Below are 21,448 nucleotides of genomic sequence, written 5' to 3' on the forward strand. Positions count from 1 at the left end.
AGGCAGGAGGATCTCTTGAGCCAGCTTGAGCAACATAGGGAGACCCTATCTCTACAAAAAAAATTAAAAAATTTGCCAAGAATGGTGGCATGTGGAGGCAAATGGAGGCTGAGGCAGTAGGATCACTTGAGCCTGGAAGGCCAAGGCTGCAGTGAGCCCTGATTGTGCCATTGTCCTCCAGCCTGGGTGACAGAGTGAATACTGTTTCTAAAAAGAAAAAAGAAAGGAAATATATAATCAGAGGAGAAAAAAGAACAAAAAGGAATAAAGACTACCTACAAGACAGAAAATAACCACAAAAGACCAAATCTAAGAATTATTGGTATTCAAGAGGGAGCTAACAAGGGTTAGAAAATGTATTCAAAGAAATGATAACAGAAAACTTTCCAAAACTTCATAAGGAGATCAATATCCAGGTATAGGAAGGTCAGAGAACATCAAACAGATTCAACCCAAATAAGATTACCCCAAGGCATTTAATAATCAGACTCTCAAAGGTGAAGGAGAAAGAGAAGATCCTAAAAGCAGTGAGAGATAAGAAGCAAATAACATATAAAGGAGTTCCAGTTCATCTGGCAACAGACATCTCAGTGGAAACCATACAGGCCAGGAGGGAGTAGAGTGACATTTTCAAAGTGCTAAATGAAGAACATTGCCATCCAAGAATACCGTATCCAGCAAAACTGTCATTCAAATATGAGGGAGGGTTAAAGTCTTTCCCAGATATACAAAAGCTGAGAGAATTCACCATCCTCAGACCCATCTTGCAAGAAATGCTAAAGGGAGGCTGGGCATGGTGGCTCACGCCTGTAATCGCAGCACTTTGAAGGTTGAAGCGGGTGGATCAGTTGAGGTCAGGAGTTCGAGACCAGCCTGGCCAACATGATGAAATATGTCTCTACTAAAAATATAAAAATTAGCCAGATGTGGTGGCGGGCACCTGTAATCCCAGCTACTAAGGAAGCTAAGACAGGAGAATCGCTTTAACATGGGAGGCAAAGGTTGCAGTGAGCTGAGATTGCACCACCGCACTCCAGTCTGGGTGACAGAGTGAAACTCCATCTCAACAACAACAACAACAACAAAAGAAATGCTAAAGGGAGTTCTTCAACCTGAAAGAAAAAAAAATACACGCAAAAACAAAAAACTTATCAAGGTATAAAACCCATTCATGTAATTAAATACATGGACAAACCCAGAATACTGTGTTACTGTATTTGTACAATATGCTCATAACTCTACTATGAAGCCAAAAAGACCTATTAAAAACAATAATAGCTATAGCAACTTCTTAAGATATAAGTAATTTAAAAATATATAAATTGAGACAACTAAAAGTCAAAATGTGAGAGGGTTAAAGTGTAGAATTTTTTGTTTGGTGTTTTCTTTCCTTTGTTTTTATTTCCTTATTTGTATTCTAAGGTAAGTTGTTATCTCTTTAAAATAACTTGTTTTAGGGCTGGGTGCTGGGGCTTATGCCTATAATCCCAGCACTTTGGGAGGCTGAGGTGGGAAGATTGCTTGAGTCTGGGAGTTTGAGACCAGTTTGAGCAACATAGACCTCATCTCTACAAAAAAAAACCCAAACAAAACCAATCAGCTGGGTACAGTGGTGCCCATGCCCACCTGTAGTCCCAGCTAGCTACTTGGGAGGCTGATGAGGGAAGGTTGATTGAGCCTAGGAGGTCGAAGCTGCAGTGAGCTGTGATCTTGCCACTGTACTTCAGTCTAGGTCACAGAATGAGATCCCGTCTCAATAAATAAGTAAATAATCACAATACAAAAACCTATAATAGCTTCATTCAAAACAAAAAGCAACAAATTAGAACATACTAGCAGAGAGAAGGAAGACAGGCAGAAAGGAACAAAGGAAGAGAGGAGTCTTAAGCAGAAATCAAGCAACAAAATGGCAGTAGAATGTTCTCACTTAGCCATAATATCACTGAATGTAAATGGTCTCAATTCTCCAATTAAAAGGCATAGAATGGCTGAATGGTTAAAGAAACAAGACCCAACTGTAGGCTGCTCTCAAGAAATTCACTTCACCTATAAAGACACACTCATACTAAAAGGGTGGAAAAAGGTATTCTATACAACTAGAAACCAAAGAAGAGCAAGAGTGGCTATACTCATGGCAGATAAATTAGACTACAAATCAAAGACTGTAAAAAATGACAAAAAGGGGTCTATATATAATGATAATGGGTGAATTTACTATATAATGATACAGGGGTCAATTCAGCAAGAGGATATAACAGTTACAAGTATCTATGTACCCAACACCAGAGCTCCCAAGTATAGAAAGCAAAGATTAATAGATCTAAAACAGAAATAGACTGTAATGCAATAATAGTAGGGTACTTCAGCACCCCACTCTCAGTAATGGACAGATTACCCAGACAGAAAGTCAACAAAGAAGCATCAGAGTTAAACTACACACTAGACCAGTGGTCCCCAACCTTTTTGGCACCAGAGACTGGTTTTTGTGGAAGACATTTTTTCCCAGAACTGGGGATTTGGGGGACAGTTTCAGGATGAAATTGTTCCACCTCAGATCATCAGGCATTAGATTCTCATGAGGAGACTGCAGCCTAGATCCCTCGCATACACAGTTCACAATAGGGTTCATGCTTCTGTGAGAATCTAGTGCTGCCGCTGATCTGACAGGAGGTGGGGTTCAGGTGGTAATGCTCACTCGCCTGCTGCTCACCTGTTGCTGTGTGGCCCAGTTCGTAATAGGCCGTGGTCTGGTACTGGTCCATGGCCCAGAGGCTGGGGACCCCTGCACTAGACCAAATAGGCCTAACATTTACAGAATATTTCTCTCAACTGCTGCAGAATACCCATTCTTTACACTAGCACATGAGACATCATCCAGAATACACCATATCTTAGGCCCCAGACAAGTCGTACAAATTCAGAAGAATAGAAATCATATTGAGTATCTTATGATTATCATGGAATAGAACTAGAGATCAATAACAGGAGGAACCTTGGAAAATACACAAACACATGGAAATTAAACATCTTCCTGAATGTCCAGTGGGTCAATTAAGAAATTAAGAAGGACATTTAAAAATTTATTGAAACAAATGAAAATGGAAATGTGGCATATCAAAATCTATGGGATATGGCAAAAGCAATACTAAGAGAGAAGTTGATAGTAATAAATGCCTACATCTAAAAAAGTAGAAAGACTTCAAATAAACAATGTAACAATGCACCTCAAGGAAGGAGAAAAGCAAGAACAAACCAAACTCAAAATTAGTGGAAGGAAAGAAATAGTAAAGTTCAGAGCAGAAATAAATAAATTGAGACAAAGAAATTACAGAAGATCAATGAAATGAAAGGTTAGGTTTTGAAAGATAAGCAAAATCGACAAACTTTTAGCTAGAATAACTAAGAAAAAAGAAGACCCAAATAAAATAAAATCAGAAACCAAAGAGGAGATACAACAACTGAGCCCTCAGAAATACAAATAATCATTAGAGACTATTATGAACATCTATAAGCCAACAAATTGGAAAACAAATTTGATTTTATGAAAATTTCAATCCAAGAGAAGTATATAACCATATTATTGACACAAATGTATGTAGTTTTTTAAAAGGTGCCATATTTTCATGGAGCCAATCTTAATGGCCCATATTTGAATCACTGATATTCAACTTTGTTAAATTTGTGTTTATATATACGCTGAATCTGTTGATTATTGGCCATTTTGGAAGAGAAAGTGTATCAGAGTCAGGTGAGTGCTCACCTTTGTAATTTGTGAGGAGAGATTCAATGTTACAATTTTATGTTAGGAAAACAACAAATTAATGTTTTTGCAGTACAAACTAAAGCAAGCTCATCCTCCAAAAAATTTCTCTGGCTGCTGAGATCAAGTTACGAAAAAAACAAAAAAGAGGCTGGGCATGATGGCTCACACCTGTACTCCCAGCACTTTGGGAGGCCAAGGTAGGAGGATCACTTGAGGCCAGGAGTTCGAGACCAGCTTGGGCAACATAGTGAGACCTCATCTCTACGAACGATATAAAAGGTGGGTGTAGTGGTGCCTGCGTGTAGTCTCAGCTACTCAGGAGGCCGAGGCAGGAGGATTGATTGAGCCCGGGAGGTCAAGCTGCCATGAGCTGTGATTGCACCACTGCACTCCAGGCTGGGTGACAGAGTGAGACCCTGTCTCAAAAAGAAAAAGGCCATGCTCAGCAGTGTTCTTTCTTCCTGGTCATAGGCCGGCTGTTCGGACGGAAGCATCAGGCTGCACCAGCTGAGCTCCGCGTTTCCGCTCCTGCAGTGGGACAGCAGCACGGACAGCCATGCGGTCACCGGCCTGCAGTGGTCCCCAACCAGGCCTGCCGTGTTCCTGGTGCAGGACGACACATCCAACATCTACATCTGGGACCTCCTCCAGAGCGATCTGGGTCCTGTCGCCAAACAGCAGGTCTCCCCCAACAGGCAAGTGGGGAAGCTCTGGACCAGCTGCTGGTTGTGGGGGGGCTTCGGCCACGGGTGCCACTTACGGTCTTTCTTCATTAATTTTTGCATGAGGCTGCTACATTTTAAGATGTGGCCATATGTAAATTTAAATAATATGTTCAGTTAAAAATTAAAAAGTATTGTTTTTGAGAGCGGTGTTAGGTTCACAGAAATTTGAGTGGAAGGCAGAGATTTCTAGCACCCTGTCCCACATCCCGGCCGGAGGCACGTGCGGTGCAATCACGGGCCTGTTCCCACACCACCACCACCGAGTCGACGGCTTACCTGAGGGTTCACTCTTGGGTTGTGCATTTAAATAATATTTTTAAAATCACTTTAAAGTGTGATTATTTTATATTTAGCCCAAGCTAGTCTATTGGATTAACAGATTCATCATGCGGTATTTCCCCATCATTAGTGTTCTGTGAGTAAGAAATGATAGTTTGTGAGAGCTTCTTAGTTATGTTCCTTTGCCAATCTTATGAGCTATAAGTTTGTAATGTCTGAACGAGGTACTTGGTGTTCCCCTAGTGTCTAAAGGGGGAAAGGAGGATGGTGTGTGGAATTAATGGTCCACATGACGCCACACTAAAGCCATTCCAGCCCAGGCCCCTCGAGGGGCTCCCAGCTCACAGGCAGACCAGTATGGCTGGGGCGTGCATGTCAGTTCACGTGATGTCACTGATGGAATTAAGACGGCTGCACTCCCATCAACACCACTGTTAGGTAGTTCTTCGTTGCTTTGTTTGTTTCACAGCAGAAGTGTTCACGAAAGCTTTCGTCATGAGGTGCTCTGCCTTGGCCCTGCTTGTCTGTTCACCTGTGTTTTTTTTCTTGAGATTTTTACATTTCTTTTTAATAAATTCTCCTACTGTGAGGGTTCATGTTGACCTGGGGAGAGAAATCCCACAGCCCTTTTGTAAAGGAAAGATAAGAGTTTAATAGAATGTTGGGGGTATCCCAGTGAGATCTGAATGAAATTAAGAATTGCATTTATTTAGTTTGATTCCTAGGTTTACTTACGTTATTCTGATTATTAAAAAATACATTAAAATCCAGACTGTGATTTGCAGATAACCACACAACACACCTGCAGTTTATTATTCCAGAAAGCATGTCCATGCCTGCGTTACAGGATAAACACATTTACCCAGCACCGACTGTGTGCCTGGCGGCCGGGGCTCCACACCCTGAGATCTCTCCCTCCCTGGTGGGCAAGAAAGACAATGAGCAGAGTGAACGAGGGGGTCCCGAAATGTGCTGGAAAACGTGCTGTGGAGGCAGATGATGAGGAAGAGGTCACGAGCGTGGGTCAGGGCCGAGGGGGCAGGAAGGATGGTCCTGTTGTGGGGACGTTTGGGCAGAAACCTAGGAGATGAGGTCTGGGTGAAGGCAGCAGGGCCTGGGCAGGGGCGGGTAGCACACCCCAAGGTGGGCTGTGCTGCTGTGGCGGGGACCGGAGGGTCTGAGCACAGGAGCCCCAGCTCTGTGTGTGATGGACTCCAAACGTGGCTCATAGTGGAGAGCATGTTTGTTGTCATTAGCAGGTTACGCACCCTTCGGTTCTGGAGCCTTGTCTTAGGGGCATCATGGCTTTCCATGAAGGAGAACGTGCTAGGGACCTCAGCTTCAATCTCCAGCTGAGACCCCGATGACTGGCTGCCCTGGAGCTCCCCTAACCCCTCAGCAGTGCCGGACGCCGGGTCAACCCTGTCCATCTGTCAGGAAGGAGGCGGCAGCCCGGCCCACGTTCCTCTACTTCTACTTCCCACACGGGAAAAGGCTCTGGAAGGAGGTGGCGCTCTCTCCTCCTGTTGAGCAGCCAGAGGGACCTGACACAGAAAGTGCCCAGTTACTTTTCTCTGGTTAGACAGAGAAACAGAACAAGAAGAAACGGATGTTTGGAAGGAAGGAGTTTAGATACAAGCAAGGATTTAACACTTTTAGAGTTACGTTACAATCTCTGACAATGACTTACCCGTTGCATGTGGTTGAGAAGCAGGTTGGCTGTGGGGAACAGGCAGGGCCCTCAGGGCCAGCACGGGAGGTGGCAGGAGCCTTGTGGTGGCTCAGTGTTGGGCCCAACTTTTGCTTTTGTCCTCTGCCCTCTTTGCTTGGATTCTGTCTACCTTAACAAATATGAAGGATGTGTAAAAGAGCTGACGGGTGCTAGTACTGTGTTTGCACATCTGCCGTAGGTGTAGTTTTAAAGCATCTAGACATAGTTTACCAAGGGACTGTTTTATTTGCCCGGTGTCAGGGAAGCCTTTGGTGTCCACCGTCTGTTACTGATGTTTTCAAGTCTGCAGCTAAACATTGCCCATGCTTTACACACGCAATTGAATAGCAGTTTTAAAGTATCCGCTGGTGAAAATCCGAGTGGCTTGTAGTTCCTCATGGTCTGCCCCTTTTGGGGTGTCACGAGGCTTCATTCCCACACTCTGCCGCCCCACGTCCTGTGGAGTGAGCAGGGAGGGGGTGCACTCAGGTAGCTGTCAGGTTGGATGTGATTTTCACCCCTGTAGTGACAAGGGCAGGGACCCTACCCCCATCATCAGGCACAGCCAGGATCCTGGCAGGTGATGGCACCAAGTTGGATCTCAAAGGACAAGTGGGAGTGAAGCAAAGACGGGCAGGGAGTCTGCAAGAGGCACGGGGAGACGGGGTCCCCAGCCACGCCTGGAGTTGCAGGTGCCAGGAGTGTGAGCCGTAGGCCCAGGGCCACAAGGAGACTGGGCGTGTTTCTACCAGCCACAGGAGGGGGTTTGAATGGGGGCCAGGTGGACAGCAGAGGTGTGTCTTTGAGAGTCTCTGTCAGCCTCAGGAGAGGATTAGAGCTGGGGCCTGGTCAGGGAGCGTGTGGTCATCAGAGTGAGGGAAGGGGCCCCTGGGAGTGAGATCGGGGAGACAGGGTGGCCACAGGTCTCGTGTTGGGCACTGGGTGGATGATGGAGGTGCTGGTCCCATGGAGGCCAGGAGTGGAGGGGTCCGGGGCTCCAGGGTGAGTCCGGGCTGGAGACGCAGACTTGTGAGTCCTGACACTCAGCTGTGGGTGAGATCCAGGGAGGCTGGAGACCAAGGACGAGGCTCTGATAGATGGGCCTGCCTGTGCTGCTGATGGCCCCCACCTTCTCCAGGGACCTGCTGGGGGCTACTGACTCCCGGCCTGAGGAGACAGCAGCACGTCCTCATCACTTACCTCTGCGAAGTTCCATCTGGCAGGCCTCTGACATGCGGAAATGCATTTTCACACATTTATTTCTGGTCTAGCTTTCATTTTGGCTATTGGTATTTTTAGAATTTCTCATCCGTTTCACTCTTCCCATGGAAGGTAGACATTTTGAAGACTCAGACAGAACCGAATGTCCCTTTGTGTGCACTGACCCTCTGCTTCTGCCCCTCTCCCTGCAGGCTGGTGGCCATGGCTGCGGTGGGTGAGCCTGAGAAGGCTGGTGGCAGCTTCCTGGCCCTGGTGCTGGCCAGGGCGTCTGGCTCCATCGACATCCAGCACCTGAAGAGGCGGTGGGCGGCCCCGGAGGTGGACGAGTGCAACAGGCTGCGTCTGCTTTTGCAGGAAGCCCTGTGGCCAGAGGGAAAACTGCACAAGTAGCGGGTGTGGCTGAGAGGACCGCGTTTCTGTAATGACCCAGATTTAAAAGACATAAGGTGGATAATTCTACATTTGTGTGCAAGTATATTTATGTATATAGACTATGTATATTCTGTATATAATTTATTTTACATGAATATGTCTTTGGTATTCCCAGTAAATAGATGACTACTTTTGAGTGGAAACAAAGAACATTCTAGCATTTACAAAACTTCCAGGGGAATGTAGAGCCACGTCCAGGGTGCTCTTTTCTGAGAGTATTTCGAGTTATTTTTAGAACAGTTTAAATATTGTCACATTACTGCTAGATTTTAAACAGCCTACCATGAAAATGTATCTTAATGAACTATTTTCTTATGCATAAAGTATGTGAACACATGTCTAAATTAAAAGGAATTACTCCACCGAAATGACCTCTGCCAATAGTGTTTTCTTAAAATTCTTGAGCACCTTCTTTTGGGATTATTGGAATGTTATATTTGCAGAGCAAGTCAGACACGTTTTCCATTAGTACTAAAAGTTGTCCTTGTGTAGAAATCATACAAGTAAATAAACTCTCTTGAATTTTGTAGCTCAGGTAGACTAGGAATCATGCTGCTGTTAACAAAATGCCCTGGGCTGGGTAGTTTATCAGCAACAGAAATCTGCACCTCCTGTTTCCTGCAGGTGGAATTCAGCATCAAGGCGCCCCGTGTTTCGTGTCTGGTCAGCTGCCCTCTGCTTTCCGCAGTACCTCATGGCTGTGCCCTCGCACAGTAGCGGAGGACAGAAAGGCCCTGGGGCCTTCAGCCTCTCTGCTGACAGCACCGATCCATTCACTAGGGCTCTGCGTCTCAAAGGGCCCTGCCCCTTAACAGCATCACCCTTGTGCTTAAGTTCCAGGCTTTGAATGTTGGAGGGACACACACATTCAAACCATAGCACAAAGACAGGAGAGTTCTGGGGTGAGGACAGGAAAATCCCAGAATGTGTCACAAACACCCATCCCTCTGTCCCATCACCCTCCTAGAATGTTCCCAGCACCGTTGGCCATCGATGGGTCTGTGAGGTGAACGGATGGGCACAGTTAGGTCTTCTCACTGGGGCACAAGATCACCTCCGCTTACTTGTCTTAGACCTGGAAGGTGTCTGGGAGGGACCCACCAGACCGGCTGTGACGCTGCAGACACAGCCCCCTCCCCAACGGCAGGGCTGCACGTCTCGCGTGGGCCTCTCCAGCCACCCGAGCAACCGCCAGCCTTTCTTTGCTTTTTAATCATTGATTTGAAACTGTTGGCCGCTGAATTCCAGGTGCCTGCTACAGCGCCTGCTGTGTCAGTAGAGTCTTAGCCAATCCTCATTCAACAAATGGCTGGAATTTGTTCATCTTCCGTCTGCATCTTCATGGAACTCAGGGTCACAGTCACGTGGGGAAGGAAGTGGACAGGCACGCGGCCTCTCTCTGCATCTTCGCGGAACCCAGGTTCACAGTTGCGTGGAAAGGAAGTGGAGTGGACACACGGCCTCTCGAGTCCACACCCACTCACCGTCCTTGCTGCTGTTTTGCAACCCGCTTGATGATTGGTCTAGAAGTTTTGAGACTGAGGTAAGTTCTTAGCCTCAGATTCCATCTTATTTAAAGTTAGAATGAATATTTGTCCCTCCTTTTCTTTGGGCCTCTTCTGGGCTTTGGTGTCTGCGAATTCTCAGCTATCATCTGCAGTTCACAGTTCGTTCTCTGTCCTGACTCCTTTGTAACCTGGGAGGCAGTCTGCTTGGGCTCAGGTCTCTGAAACTGCTCAGTAAATCAGCTCAAGGGAATCCAGGGAGTTCTGTCTGGCTCCTGAGTTATGTGCCCGGTCACAGTGCTGCTCCTTTAGGGGGAGCTCCCAAGGGAGGACCATCTGCAGCTCAGTTACGTCCTCCTGACGTGAGCCTCCTGCCTGGCTGGGGGCTCACTCCCCCCTCTGAAGCCCTTGCTCATGCTCTGCCAGTGCCCAGGAGGTGCAGCCTCACGGAGGCCAGGGGCGAGAGGAGGCCCAGCTCTCCCCAGCTGCCGTGTCTGACGCGCTGCCTCGGAAGCACCTGTGGCCATTGGGCGGCTTCTGCCCTGTGGCTGGTTGGCCTGTGCAGCTTCTGCTCCATGATGTCCTTGAATGTGTCCTTCCCAGGCTCCTAAGCATTGGGTGTTTTTTGAGCCATATAGAAATGTGAAGTTCGTGAAGAAAGAAACATCCAAAAAGGCCAACGATCTGCCCCTCAGCCTCACCCCCAGGGAGGAGCTGGCCCGGTGCTTGTGGGCCCCTCCCAGGTGCAGCCTGCCCTGGCGCTAGCGATGCCTCCGGGATCTTCCAGAGGAAGGTGAGACAGGCAACAGGATGGAGTAATCGCAGCCTCTAAAAAACACATTTCACAGCAGATTAGGAAAACAGACGTGGCAAGAGGTGGGCCGACAGTGCGGGAGGCGGTTCCTTCCCACCGTGGGCTTCCCGTCTGACTTTACAGCAAGGCCGCTTCCACACGGGGGTCTCCAAGCCCACCCTGGTGCCTTGCTGCACGCAGGCTGAGCGCTTTCTTCCAAGGCAGACAGCGGTAATTTAATTTTCTCTTTTTCAGTCGTGTTTTTGTTATTTAGAAAACACTTTTCTTTCAACATTTGCCACATCAGTAGAAGTAAATTAAAACGTTCGTTACCTCACGTGTGGTTATTTGTGTGCTGAGGATACCCCGCTTGCTGTGCTGGACTGAGCTCTTGAGGACGGAGGCACTTCTGTTTTCTCACAGTCATCGCCCCCGGGTGCTTCGGACACGGGAGGTGCTCAGTGAAGGTGGCGCGGGGGATGGCTGAGTGGCAGTTGTGTCTGCAGGGCAGAGTCATATCGGAATGTACAAGCGCAACTGGATATGCAGACTTTTATTCCTGGAGGCTACAGTCTGGTCCCTCAATGACCCCACACCCCCCACAATTATTTACAAAATTCCATTTGACGTAAACTGGAGTCAAGAGGGGGGTCCAGTCGCGGCTGTGGTTTACCCAGTGACATGTAGATGTTCAAGGTCCCAGGTATGGTAAAAGCACAAGTAGGAAATTTAAGTTTTGGGGCCTCACAATAAAATGGCAGATGGTTAACATCATCAGCTCTTCCAAATCTCACTAAAATGCTCAGGAAGACGCAAAGAGGAGACACGGCCCTCCTACTAAGGAAGGTTCCGCTAATCTCGGACTGACTCCTAATGAACAGATGGCTGGTCCTGGACTGGAGAACATGGCACAGAACCGGGCAGCCTCTGCGCCCTGAGGTCCACGTCTGCCCCCGAGAGAGCAGTTCCTCCAAGCAGTGGGTGCTGCCCTGGGCGACAGCACCACCGTCCAACAGCACCTCTGGCCTCCCATCCTCTTGGAGACTCAACACCAGGAACACCCCGCAGGTGGTGAAATGCCAAAATGTAATTTCGCCAGAAATAATCTCTGAAGATACAGAGTCACACATAGTCACACATAGTCACACACAGTCCTGAATGCGGAAGTAGGCTTTTTAAAATAGTTTATTTAGAATATCTGAGAGACAGTGAAGCCTGGGAGAGAAGATGCTGCTTTAGCTGAGCTGATCTGTCCTGGAAAAGCGTCTGCCTGGGCAGGACTGTAGACAGTCCCCACTCACTCCAGGGAGTAGACAAGAGGAAGGGTGCACCCGGCCCTGTCCCCACTCCAGTGTGTAGACGAGAGCCAGGGTCCACCCCGCCCTGCTTGTTGGCAGCCCGTCTGTTGAGGGCCCCATGACAGCAGAGGCAGTGCCGTGGAACGAATCATCGCACAGCAGCAAAGGTAGGAGGGAGGGGCCCGAGCCGCACAGACGGCGCAGTTCAGCGGAGCAGGAGGTGCAGGCGGCGCGGCTTCAGGGAAAGGAGCGGAAAGCTAGAGGAGAGCATGGGAGGAGCATCAAAGGCCGGGAGAATGGGGCAAAGCAAGACAAGTAAGGATGCTTAAGAATCAAGGAAATACCTTTCATTTTTCCTTTTTTTTTTTTTTCAGACGGAGTTTCGCTCTCCTTGTCTAGGCTGGAGTGCAATGGCGCAATCTCGCCTCACCGCAACCTCCGCCTCCCAGGTTCAAGCGATTCTTCTGCCTCAGCCTCCCAAGTATCTGGGATTACAGGCATGTGCCACCACACCTGGCTAATTTTGTATTTTTAGTAGAGATGGGGTTTCTCCATGTTGATCAGGCTGGTCTCGAACTCCCAACCTCAGGTGATCTGCCTGCCTCGGCCTCCCAAAGTGCTGGGATTACAGGCATGAGCCACCGTGCCCAGCCAAGTCGAGCGTTTTTAAAATTTTATTTATTTTTGAGACAGAGTCTCACTCTGGTGTGATCTTGGCTCACTGCAGCCTCTGCCTCCCAGGTTCAAGTGATTCTCGTGCTCCAGCCTCCCAAGTACCTGGGATGACAGGTGTGCACCACCACACTCGGCTGATTTTTGTATTTTTAATAGAGATGGGGTTTTGCCATGTTGGGCAGGCTGGTTCTTGAACTCCTGACCTCAAGTGATCTGCCCACCTTGGCCTCCCGAAGTGCTGGGATTCCAGGTATGAGCCACTGTGCCTGGCCTAAGATTCCAGGTGTGAGCACCAGGACCAGCCTCTATATGATTCCAGGTGTTCTATATGATTCCAGGTGTGATATACTGCACGGGGACCAGCCTCTATACGATTCCAGGTGTTCTATATGATTCCAGGTGTGATATACTGCACGGGGACCAGCCTCTATACGATTCCAGGTGTTCTATATGATTCCAGGTGTGATATACTGCACGGGGACCAGCCTCTATACGATTCCAGGTGTTCTATATGATTCCAGGTGTGATATACTGCACGGGGACCAGCCTCTATACGATTCCAGGTGTTCTATATGATTCCAGGTGTGATATACTGCACCGGGACCAGCCTCTATATGATTCCAGGTGTTCTATATGATTCCAGGTGTGATATACTGCATGGGGACCAGCCTCTATACAATTCCAGGTGTTCTATATGATTCCAGGTGTGATATACTGCACCGGGACCAGCCTCTATATGATTCCAGGTGTTCTATATGATTCCAGGTGTGATATACTGCACCGGGACCAGCCTCTATACGATTCCAGGTGTTCTATATGATTCCAGGTGTGATATACTGCACCGGGACCAGCCTCTATATGATTCCAGGTGTGAGCACCGTGCCTGGCCTATATATGATTCCAGTTGTGAGCTACTGAATCTGGCCCAGCCCATCTGATCTTGCATGTTGTCCACGTTTTCCATCACAGCCTTTAATGTGTCAGTCATAGTTATTTAAAATCCCCTTTCAAATAGTTCCAACATCTGAGTCATATCTGTGTCTTGTTCTGATGGTTGTTTTGTCTCTTGGGAATGTGGTTTTATTCTTGCTTTTTTCTGTGTTACTTAAGCATTTTGGTTGAATGCTGGACCTGTTTTATGGACAGTAGAGAGGGAGGTAAATCATTGTCTTTTATTTTTTGGCCTGGATGTGGCTGTGCCTTTCCTTCTACTTGGCAGGGACCCTGCCCCCATCATCAGGCACAGCTGGGATCCTGGCAGGTCCCTGGGCGATGGCACCAAGCCAGGTCTCAAAGGACAAGTGGGAGTGAAGCAAAGACGGGCAGGGAGTCTGCGAGAGGCACAGGGAGACGGGGTCCCCAGCCAGGCCTGGAGGTGCAGGTGCTGGGAGCGTGAGCTGGAGGCCCAGGGCCACAAGGAGAGACTGGGCGTGTTCCTACCAGCCACAGGAAGGTGCTGGAGCCCCAGGGCATGCTGGCCTCTGTCCTGGCACCTGTGTGGGAGGTACACAGTTTGGGGAGTGCTTGGGTACTGAGAGGTGTCAAGTGAGAGGGCAGGGAGCGGAGAAGTGAACTGGTGGTTCTTCCCGGGCTCCTCTGAGTCTTCACCCCTCTAACTCCCTCTGGGGCTCAGCTGGCATTGGGGCTGCCTGAGGCTGAGCTGGCACCGGTTCTGAGGAGCTGAAGGAGCATGTTCTTCTCCAGTGTGTCCATGGGAAGCTCCTCCTACCTCCCTGCATCCAAGGCCTGGCCTTTGCCCTGGGTGCTGTGCCTCGGGGGACGTGAGGGCTTCCAGGGAGTTTTAGAAGGATGTGTTCTGGAGCCTCCGTGTTGACACCCCCTGGGAATAGAATCGCCCTGGGTTGAGGCATCCTCCAGACCCGCCTTTCCTGCTGCAAAGCTCTCACCACCACCAAACCTCACAGGCGTGCATCACCCATGGTGGGTGTGAAACTCATGGGGCCCGAAGCCATGGTACGTGGCAAGGTCGCGGTGGAAATCCACGTGGGAAGAGGAGCAGAAGAATCCACCAGCAGAAGAAGAGCCCAGAGGGGCTTCCGAGGAGGGCGCGGTAAACACGCACGCTGGCACCTGTGGGATGCGCTAGAGTCACATGTTGTGGGGGATGGGAATCCTCAAAGTGGGCAGGTTCCTCCCACCTTCTGTCCAGAGCAGTTTCTGAGGAGGTTCCCCAGTGAGCACGGGAGGAGCAGCTCCCATCCCAGTGTGTCCCACGCAAGCTAAGGATTCCAGGGAAAAAGTGGACATCCCGCCTACCTGAATTGGTATTTTTAGCTTTTCTTCTCCATGGCTAAGGGGGTGCAAGAAGCTTCCTAGGTCTGGGTTAGAGAAGGCCTCTTCCGTGGCTGAGATGGGGTCTCCAATGCCAGTTGGATTTTTTGCTCTTTAAGGAGGTGGTTTTGGTGGGCTCTTTACAGCCTGACAGTAAAAGCAGAAAAGTAAACTAGATACTTAAAAAAATATCCTAAGGGAATAAGAAGGAGCCTTGAACTGTGGACAGGGAGAAAAGGAGGGTGAACCCCCAGCCGCATCATAAGACAGAATCCGCACCTTCATATTGTGTGGACAGGGAGAAAAGGAGGGTGAACCCCCAGCCGCATCGTAAGACAGAGTCCGCACCTTCATATTGTGTGGACAGGGAGAAAAGGAGGGTGAACCCCCAGCCGCGTCGTAAGACAGAATCCGCACCTTCATGTTGCACAGCGTGGGCTCAGCCTGAGGGGACTCTCCTCAGCACCCTTCAGGACCCACCGCACCTTCCACCTCCCAGGGTGCGCCCCCTTGAAACTCCGTGAGCCTCAGCGCCTGCTGTGCACGGTGGTGAGTCCAGAGCCCACTGCCTCGGGCTCCTGCCCAACCTCTGCCAGCATCACGCTCCCCCATCCTTCCCACCTGTGCAATGCCAGCCCAGGTGGCATCCGCACCCATGGGCTAACAGGACAGGGCGCCCTGTGGCCAGACAGACCCTGGTGGGAATTCTCAGCACCTGTAGCTGTTCCTACCCTCCTCGCCCACCTCTCCTGAAGTGAGTGACACTGAGCTGACCCACATGTGGCTGCTCCTACCCTCCTCGCCCTCCTCTCCTAAATTGAGTGACACTGAGATGACCCACATGTGGCTGCTCCTACCCTCCTCGCCCTCCTCTCCTGAATTGAGTGACACTGAGCTGACCCACATGTGGCTGTTCCTACCCTCCTCGCCCTCCTCTCCTGAATTGAGTGACACTGAATTCTAAAGTCTAAAGTCACTTGGCTTATTTTACTTATGCAGGTTAGAATAAAGTAATTCTCTTAAATATGATGGTATTATTTAAAACTATAAAGTGAGATCATAGTACAAGGTTCCTGCTCACATGGTACTTTGATACAAATATAACCTATCATAATCCCAGCACTTTGGGAGGCCAAGACAGAGGGTTGCTTGAGCCCAGAGTTTGAGACCAGTCTGGGAAACATGGCAAGACCCTATCTCTACAAATAAACATAGCTGGGGGCGAATGGTGGCACACACCTCTAGTCCCAGCTACTCAAGACGGCTGAGGTAGGAGAATGGCTTGAGCTGGAGAGGTTGAGGCTGCAGAAAAGTAGCTTACATATGCGTGTGTGTATATATATGTTACATGTGTGTGTATGTTACATATATGTGTAATAAGTACCTGATGCATCATAGGTTATATATATGTTATATATATGCCTACAAATTAGCTTGGGGAAGGTGGTGAATGGCATATATGTTATATATATGCCTAAAAATTAGCTTGGGGAAGGTGGTGAATGGCATATACATACAAGCATACGTGTATATTTGTATAAAACCTATTGCTGTGGGTGGCTGTGTCCCCACCCAAATGTCATCTTGCAGCGTATCTCCTGTAATCCCCACGTGTTTTCAGAGGGATCTGGTGGGAAGTAACTGAATCGTGGGGGCAGGTTTTTCCTGTGCTGTTCTCGAGATAGTGAGTAAGTCTCACGTGATCTGGTGGTTTTATTAAGGGCGGTTCCCCTGCACACACGCTCCTGTCTGCACCTTGGAAGACGTGCCTTTGCTTCTCCTTTGCCTTTGGCCATGATTGTGAGGCCTCCCCAGCCATGTGGAACTGTGAGTCCATTACACCTCTTTCCTTTATGAATTACCCCGTCTCCAGTATGTCTTTATAAGCAGTGTGTGAACAGACTAATGCACCTATCATGCATCAGATACTTATTAAGACCAGGGCATTGTACATATATTCTTTTGAAAATTACATTTAGTCTGGGTGTAGTGGCTCACACCTGTAATCTCAGCACTTTGGGAGGCCAAGGTGGGCAGATCACTTGAGTCTAGGAGCTCAAGACCAGCCTTTTGGGAAACATAGAGAAACCCCATCTCTCCTAAAAATATAAAAATTAGATGGGTGTGGAGGTGTGTGCCTGTGGTCCCAGCTACTTGGGAGGCTGAGGTGGGAGAATTGCTTGAGCCCAGGAGGTGGAGCTTGCAGTGAGCTGAGCTCGTGCCAGTGCTCTCCAGCCTGGACGACAGAATGAGACTCTCTCTCTAAAAAAATTACACTTATTTCCTACATTCTAAAAGTAATATTTATATATTGAAGACAACTGAAATTATATTAAAAATAAGTAAGAAAAAATTATAGTCTCACCATCCAGAGAGAATGCTCTGAATATTATAGCATTTCTAGAGTCTTTTTAAAGGTTTATACACATCAGGACATGGAGAGTAAATCTGTTTATGACATGAAAATCCAGCTCATTTCATCCTTTCTGGTGGAAGGCGGTCCCTCCCCACACCCCCACCATGCCCCGTCCCCCACAGGCCTAGACAAGCCCCACCTACTGTTAGTGTCTTTAGACAACCTTCTCCTCCCTCCAGAGAAAGTGCCCATTCTAGTGGGACAGTAAGTCCTCCTTCACTGTTGGGTATTTTGGGGTGAGTCTGGAGAGTGTGATTTCAAGATGTTTCTAAAGGCTCTGGTTTTTAATATAAATCACTGAGGATACCTGAAGAGGCACGTTGAAACATTGTTGCTTCCTTTGTTTTCTTAAGAAAGAGACCATCAAATAATGTTGGGGGAAGCATCCCTGGACTTAACACTTTACTCTCTGTTCATGCCGTCTCTGCCCAGGCTGGTGCAGGAGAGCTGCCGCTGGCTCTGGGCCACGCCTGCCCTTTGGCTGTTTCTCCTCCAGTGCTGAAGGATCTGCAGGGATCGCAGCTCTGACCCTGCCGCACCTCTGCCATCCGCTGGCCCTGAACCGAGGCTTCAGTCTGCATGGGGGCCAGAGCCTCCAACAGCTGAATTAATCGGCCCCCGATTTGGAAAAAGGTCCCCTAGGTTTTCACAGAACATGTCTACTATTTCAGAGTCTTGGGGTAATAGCCTATAATTCACCTCTGTTCAGTTCAACAAACACTCCCTAAGCATCCACTTATGAGCAGATTTTGTGCTAAGAGCCAGGCGGTGGTTCTGGCGCTGCCTTGTGGGTAGGCGGAGACACCCAGCGCTAACATAAATCAGAGGTCCTGCCTGCAGGCGTATTTTGTTTGACCCTCGTGATGTTCTACTAACGTTTGAACTTGAATATTTTCCATGGGACAGGGCCCGTGAGTTCCCCACAGCACTCCCCACACGCTGCTTTTTAATGTCCTGCCCAGTTCCTGTAAGCTCCAGAGCTTGTGACCTCCAAAATGGGCAGTGATCACAGAATAAACACAGCCCTGTGGGGAGCCACAAAGCTGGAGAAGCATGAGGGATGGGAAGGTCAAAGGCACAGAGACGAGAAGTAGAAATGTGTGTCCTCAGCCTGGTGTCGCCCCAGGGGTTGGGCGATCTGGCAGGTATGGCGGAACCTCGCCTCTAAACTGTCTTGCAGATTTTCTGTAATATTGGAATAGGCCTTACTCATAGTTGTGCTTGCCCAATTTGGCCTGTCATTGGATTTGTGAAATGGCCTTGAGGCAATGGCTTAAATGATTTTTTAAATCTGTTTTTCTCTCATGTGAGCGTCTAGACCGGGAGGCGGCCAGAAGTGGCCGGCAGCTGTAGAGAGAGTTTTCCTGGGACACAGCCACGTGCCCTTGTCTCCATCTTTCTGTGGCTGCGGCTGTAGGATCCACAAGGCTAAAATCCGCATAATCTGCCCCGTGCAGAATACGTGTCCAGCACGACCCTGAATCAGGGACTGTGTGGGGACCCAGGCCTCCTCCCTTCGTCTGGGAGCAGCTGTCCTCCCTGCACAGAGCTGATGCCACCGTTCCTGGAGGGGCCACCTCTGGAAGGCTGCTGGTCACCACGTCCACAGTTAAAGCGGCAGCGGAGACAGCGTGGTGCTGAGGCTGCCAGGGAGGCTGGGAAGTGGCTCCGTAAGCGCCGGGGCCTGCACCGTAGGAGGAGGGGACCTGTGTCGGGAACCTTCCGGAAGCCAGGACGAGAGTACTCCCATCCTGAGCGAACTGCTTTCTCCTTTTTGCTTAGGCTGTGATGCCACAAAGCAAATGAAGAGGCGAGAAGGCGACAGGGCTTGGAGCCGGAACCTCAGCTTGATGCCCAGATCTGTGGAGCAGCCCTGTCCCCAGGCAAGTCGCCGACTGCTTCAGATCCCAGTGCCCGGTGGGGACTATACGTGCCCTGCTTACCTCCCAGCCTGTGGCGTAAGTGAGACGGTGCGAGTGGAAAAGGCAACACAGATAGGAAGTTTTAGGAAAATGTTAGGCCTGATCCCTGGGGCTGTGGGCAGCTGCCCAGGCTCTTCCTCTGTGTAGCTGTGGGCTGAGCTGTCCCTCTCTGTGGTTCGAGCAAGCGTGGCTGGACCAGGATGGGCACGGGCAGGGCTCCCGTGAGCTGCCGTCCACACTCACCCGGCATCGGGCTCCTTGGCGATGACCAAGTTCTTTGTTGATCTCTGTCCTCTCCAGCCCTGAACTGGGTCCTGAACACCCTGTTGTCTGTTGATCTATTTCGCTGCTGCTGCTGCCGGCCTGGGTCCCACCTTGCTCTCCACGACTTTAATCACATTCAGTGGAGGGTTTTGCCACCTTCTCTAAATCTAAGAAATCAGTGTTGTTGTAAATAGACATCCAAAATGCATGTTCTTCTTCTTTTCCTCAAGTCATCCAGACTCACTGCACGTCATTTTGGAGGGCGCCTTCCTTTCCGGATTCCAACCTCTGCGGCGCTGGCCTCAGGCTCCAGGTCCCGGCTGCTGGGGCTGCTCCTGTGGGGCCGATTCTGGCAGGACTGAGCCCACTGCTGCCCAACCCCTGGGAAGTGTGTTGTGGATAGACTACTTCTTTGTTTGTTTTATTCCTATACATTAGAAATATAGACTTACATTCATTGAAAATTAACCAAAAAACCTACCAGGTAGCTCCTGAACAGAATATGAAAGTGGGTAGCAGCTGGAGGGGCGTGTTTGTGGTCCCCAGCGCGGGCTCTACGCCGGGGGCGCATCCTTCCCACGTGCCACGGGCTATGAGGAACCGGCCCCTCTTCCTCCCTAATCTCAGCGATTCCAGCTGGGCTGCAGCCACACGGAGCTCACCGGAGGCCACCTGGCAAGCCTCTGTGATTATCTGCTGCAGACGCCGAGGCCTGGAGTCCCTGAGCATCGAGCCTCCCCGGGGAGCAAATGCACTCGGCACTCGTGAGGTCCACCGCCAACTCCATAACAGCGCTCCTAGGGAAAGAGCAGCGCCGGGCGTGTCACTTTTTACACAAGGGCTGTTTAGCTACGTGCTGTATCAGACACAGGGGACCCCTCCCTGCCTGGGGGCTTTAAATGCCACGCGCTGAGGCCAGCCCTTCCTGACGTGTCAGCCACTGCCCCCCAGTGTCTGTGGGACCCTGAGGGCCCCTCGGCCTTCCGCTCCGGGGAGCACCTGAAGTGCCTCAATTTACTCACTATCTGCCCGTCAGCCACAGCCACACCCTAGGTCGTGGAGAGGGTGTGGTCTGCACCTGCCCGTCAGCCACAGACACGCCCCAGGTCGTGGAGAGGGTGAGGTCTGCACCTGCCCGTCAGCCACAGACACGCCCCAGGTCGTGGAGAGGGTGTGGTCTGCACCTGCCCGTCAGCCACAGCCTCGTCCCTACTTGATTTTCGTTGGTGTTGCTTATGAGGTGCACCTTGATTCCAGAAATGTCAAAGCAGCAAAGCCGTGGTTGAAAAGCAGGCAGAAGCCTGTGCCGCGTGGGAGGCTCTGCAGCGCCCGCCCCACACCTGGCGTTCCAGCCACCTACCGACCAGAGATCTGAAGCGTGCGCGTTCTCTCTTCCTCACCGTGGCCGGGGTCCTGTTCTGTGCGCGGATCAGCTGCTGGTGTCTGCGGGAACACCGGCCCCCGGGCCACTGCGGAGCAGAACGGATGCTCGTCCTGGCATCTCCCCGTTTTTGTCTCTTGCCGACTTGTTCGGTATCTTGGCTTCACACACTAGAAAGCTCACAATAGTTCAGGGGTGGGGTTTAAATACATCTAAATCCCACCTCCCCGCAAACTACACATTAGTTAAATAGAATGAGTTTCTAGTTTTCAGCCAGAAAGGCTACCTTTGCCTCTTGAATAAACGTTTACAGACAAAACTCCTCCTATAACACTTGCTCAGAATTTAATTTTGCCACAACAGGAAAATTCAGTCCTGCCGTCTGGGCACGTCCTGCCGAATCGTGCGGGGAGGTGCAGCCGTGACACTGCAGCCTCCTTGCCCTCCAGGAGAGCAACCCCCTAGACGAAGTGAGGCGGGGACACGCCGGGGAGCACAGGCTGCTGAGCCAGAGCCTGAGCACAGTCGGAGCCGAGAGCATCAGGTGGGCTTAAGGTTTCTTCTGACTCAAAGCCTGTAATTTACAACTGCCCACACCAGGCACAACAGAAACTTCTGGTCAACCCAGGAGAAGCCAGTGCAATGCTGGCGTGTATGGTACTCCCCAGCATGTGTGGGAAACGTAGCGAGGATGAATTAAACCCTTTCCTCTGTGGCCGACTCCACCAGGCTCCTCCGCAGGAGACAGTGCCTTGTGCTGCAGCACAACCC

At 49.9% G+C, this 21,448-nt stretch overlaps 1 protein-coding gene across 27 annotated transcripts in view, besides 4 other annotated features; it reads left to right on the top strand.

Annotated features, from left to right (window-relative positions):
- The window catches only part of DYNC2I1 (dynein 2 intermediate chain 1), a 119,454-nt gene extending 98,446 nt beyond the window's left edge, over window positions 1-21,008 (top strand). For 21 of the 27 annotated variants that reach the window (XM_047420560.1, NM_001350914.2, XM_006716041.3 and 18 more), the window contains 2 exons: window positions 4,235-4,458; window positions 7,891-8,499. In XM_047420560.1, coding sequence (XP_047276516.1) covers window positions 4,235-4,458; window positions 7,891-8,089 — 423 coding nt within the window. In that variant the 3' untranslated portion in view covers window positions 8,090-8,499. Of the gene's footprint in view, window positions 1-4,234; window positions 4,459-7,890; window positions 8,500-8,755 lie in introns of those variants that run through there. The other 6 variants (XR_007060061.1, XR_007060060.1, XR_007060062.1 and 3 more) reach the window with 6 other exon arrangements.
- Window positions 5,474-6,320: an enhancer, noted in NCBI's record as "H3K27ac-H3K4me1 hESC enhancer chr7:158735855-158736701 (GRCh37/hg19 assembly coordinates)". NCBI's record gives its function as "activates a minimal SCP1, AML or CMV promoter by ChIP-STARR-seq in naive H9 embryonic stem cells {active_cell/tissue: H9 hESC(naive)}" and the evidence as "EXISTENCE:reporter gene assay evidence [ECO:0000049][PMID:30033119]".
- Window positions 19,563-20,134: an enhancer, noted in NCBI's record as "H3K4me1 hESC enhancer chr7:158749944-158750515 (GRCh37/hg19 assembly coordinates)". NCBI's record gives its function as "activates a minimal SCP1, AML or CMV promoter by ChIP-STARR-seq in primed H9 embryonic stem cells {active_cell/tissue: H9 hESC(primed)}" and the evidence as "EXISTENCE:reporter gene assay evidence [ECO:0000049][PMID:30033119]".
- Window positions 19,563-20,243: a biological region, named in NCBI's record as "H3K4me1 hESC enhancer GRCh37_chr7:158749944-158750515".
- Window positions 20,014-20,243: an enhancer, noted in NCBI's record as "active region_26934". NCBI's record gives its function as "activates an Ori minimal core promoter by ATAC-STARR-seq in GM12878 lymphoblastoid cells {active_cell/tissue: GM12878}" and the evidence as "EXISTENCE:reporter gene assay evidence [ECO:0000049][PMID:35858748]".

Source organism: Homo sapiens, chromosome 7, assembly GCF_000001405.40.
Source record: "Homo sapiens chromosome 7, GRCh38.p14 Primary Assembly".
Classification (NCBI taxonomy): Eukaryota; Metazoa; Chordata; class Mammalia; order Primates; family Hominidae; genus Homo; species Homo sapiens.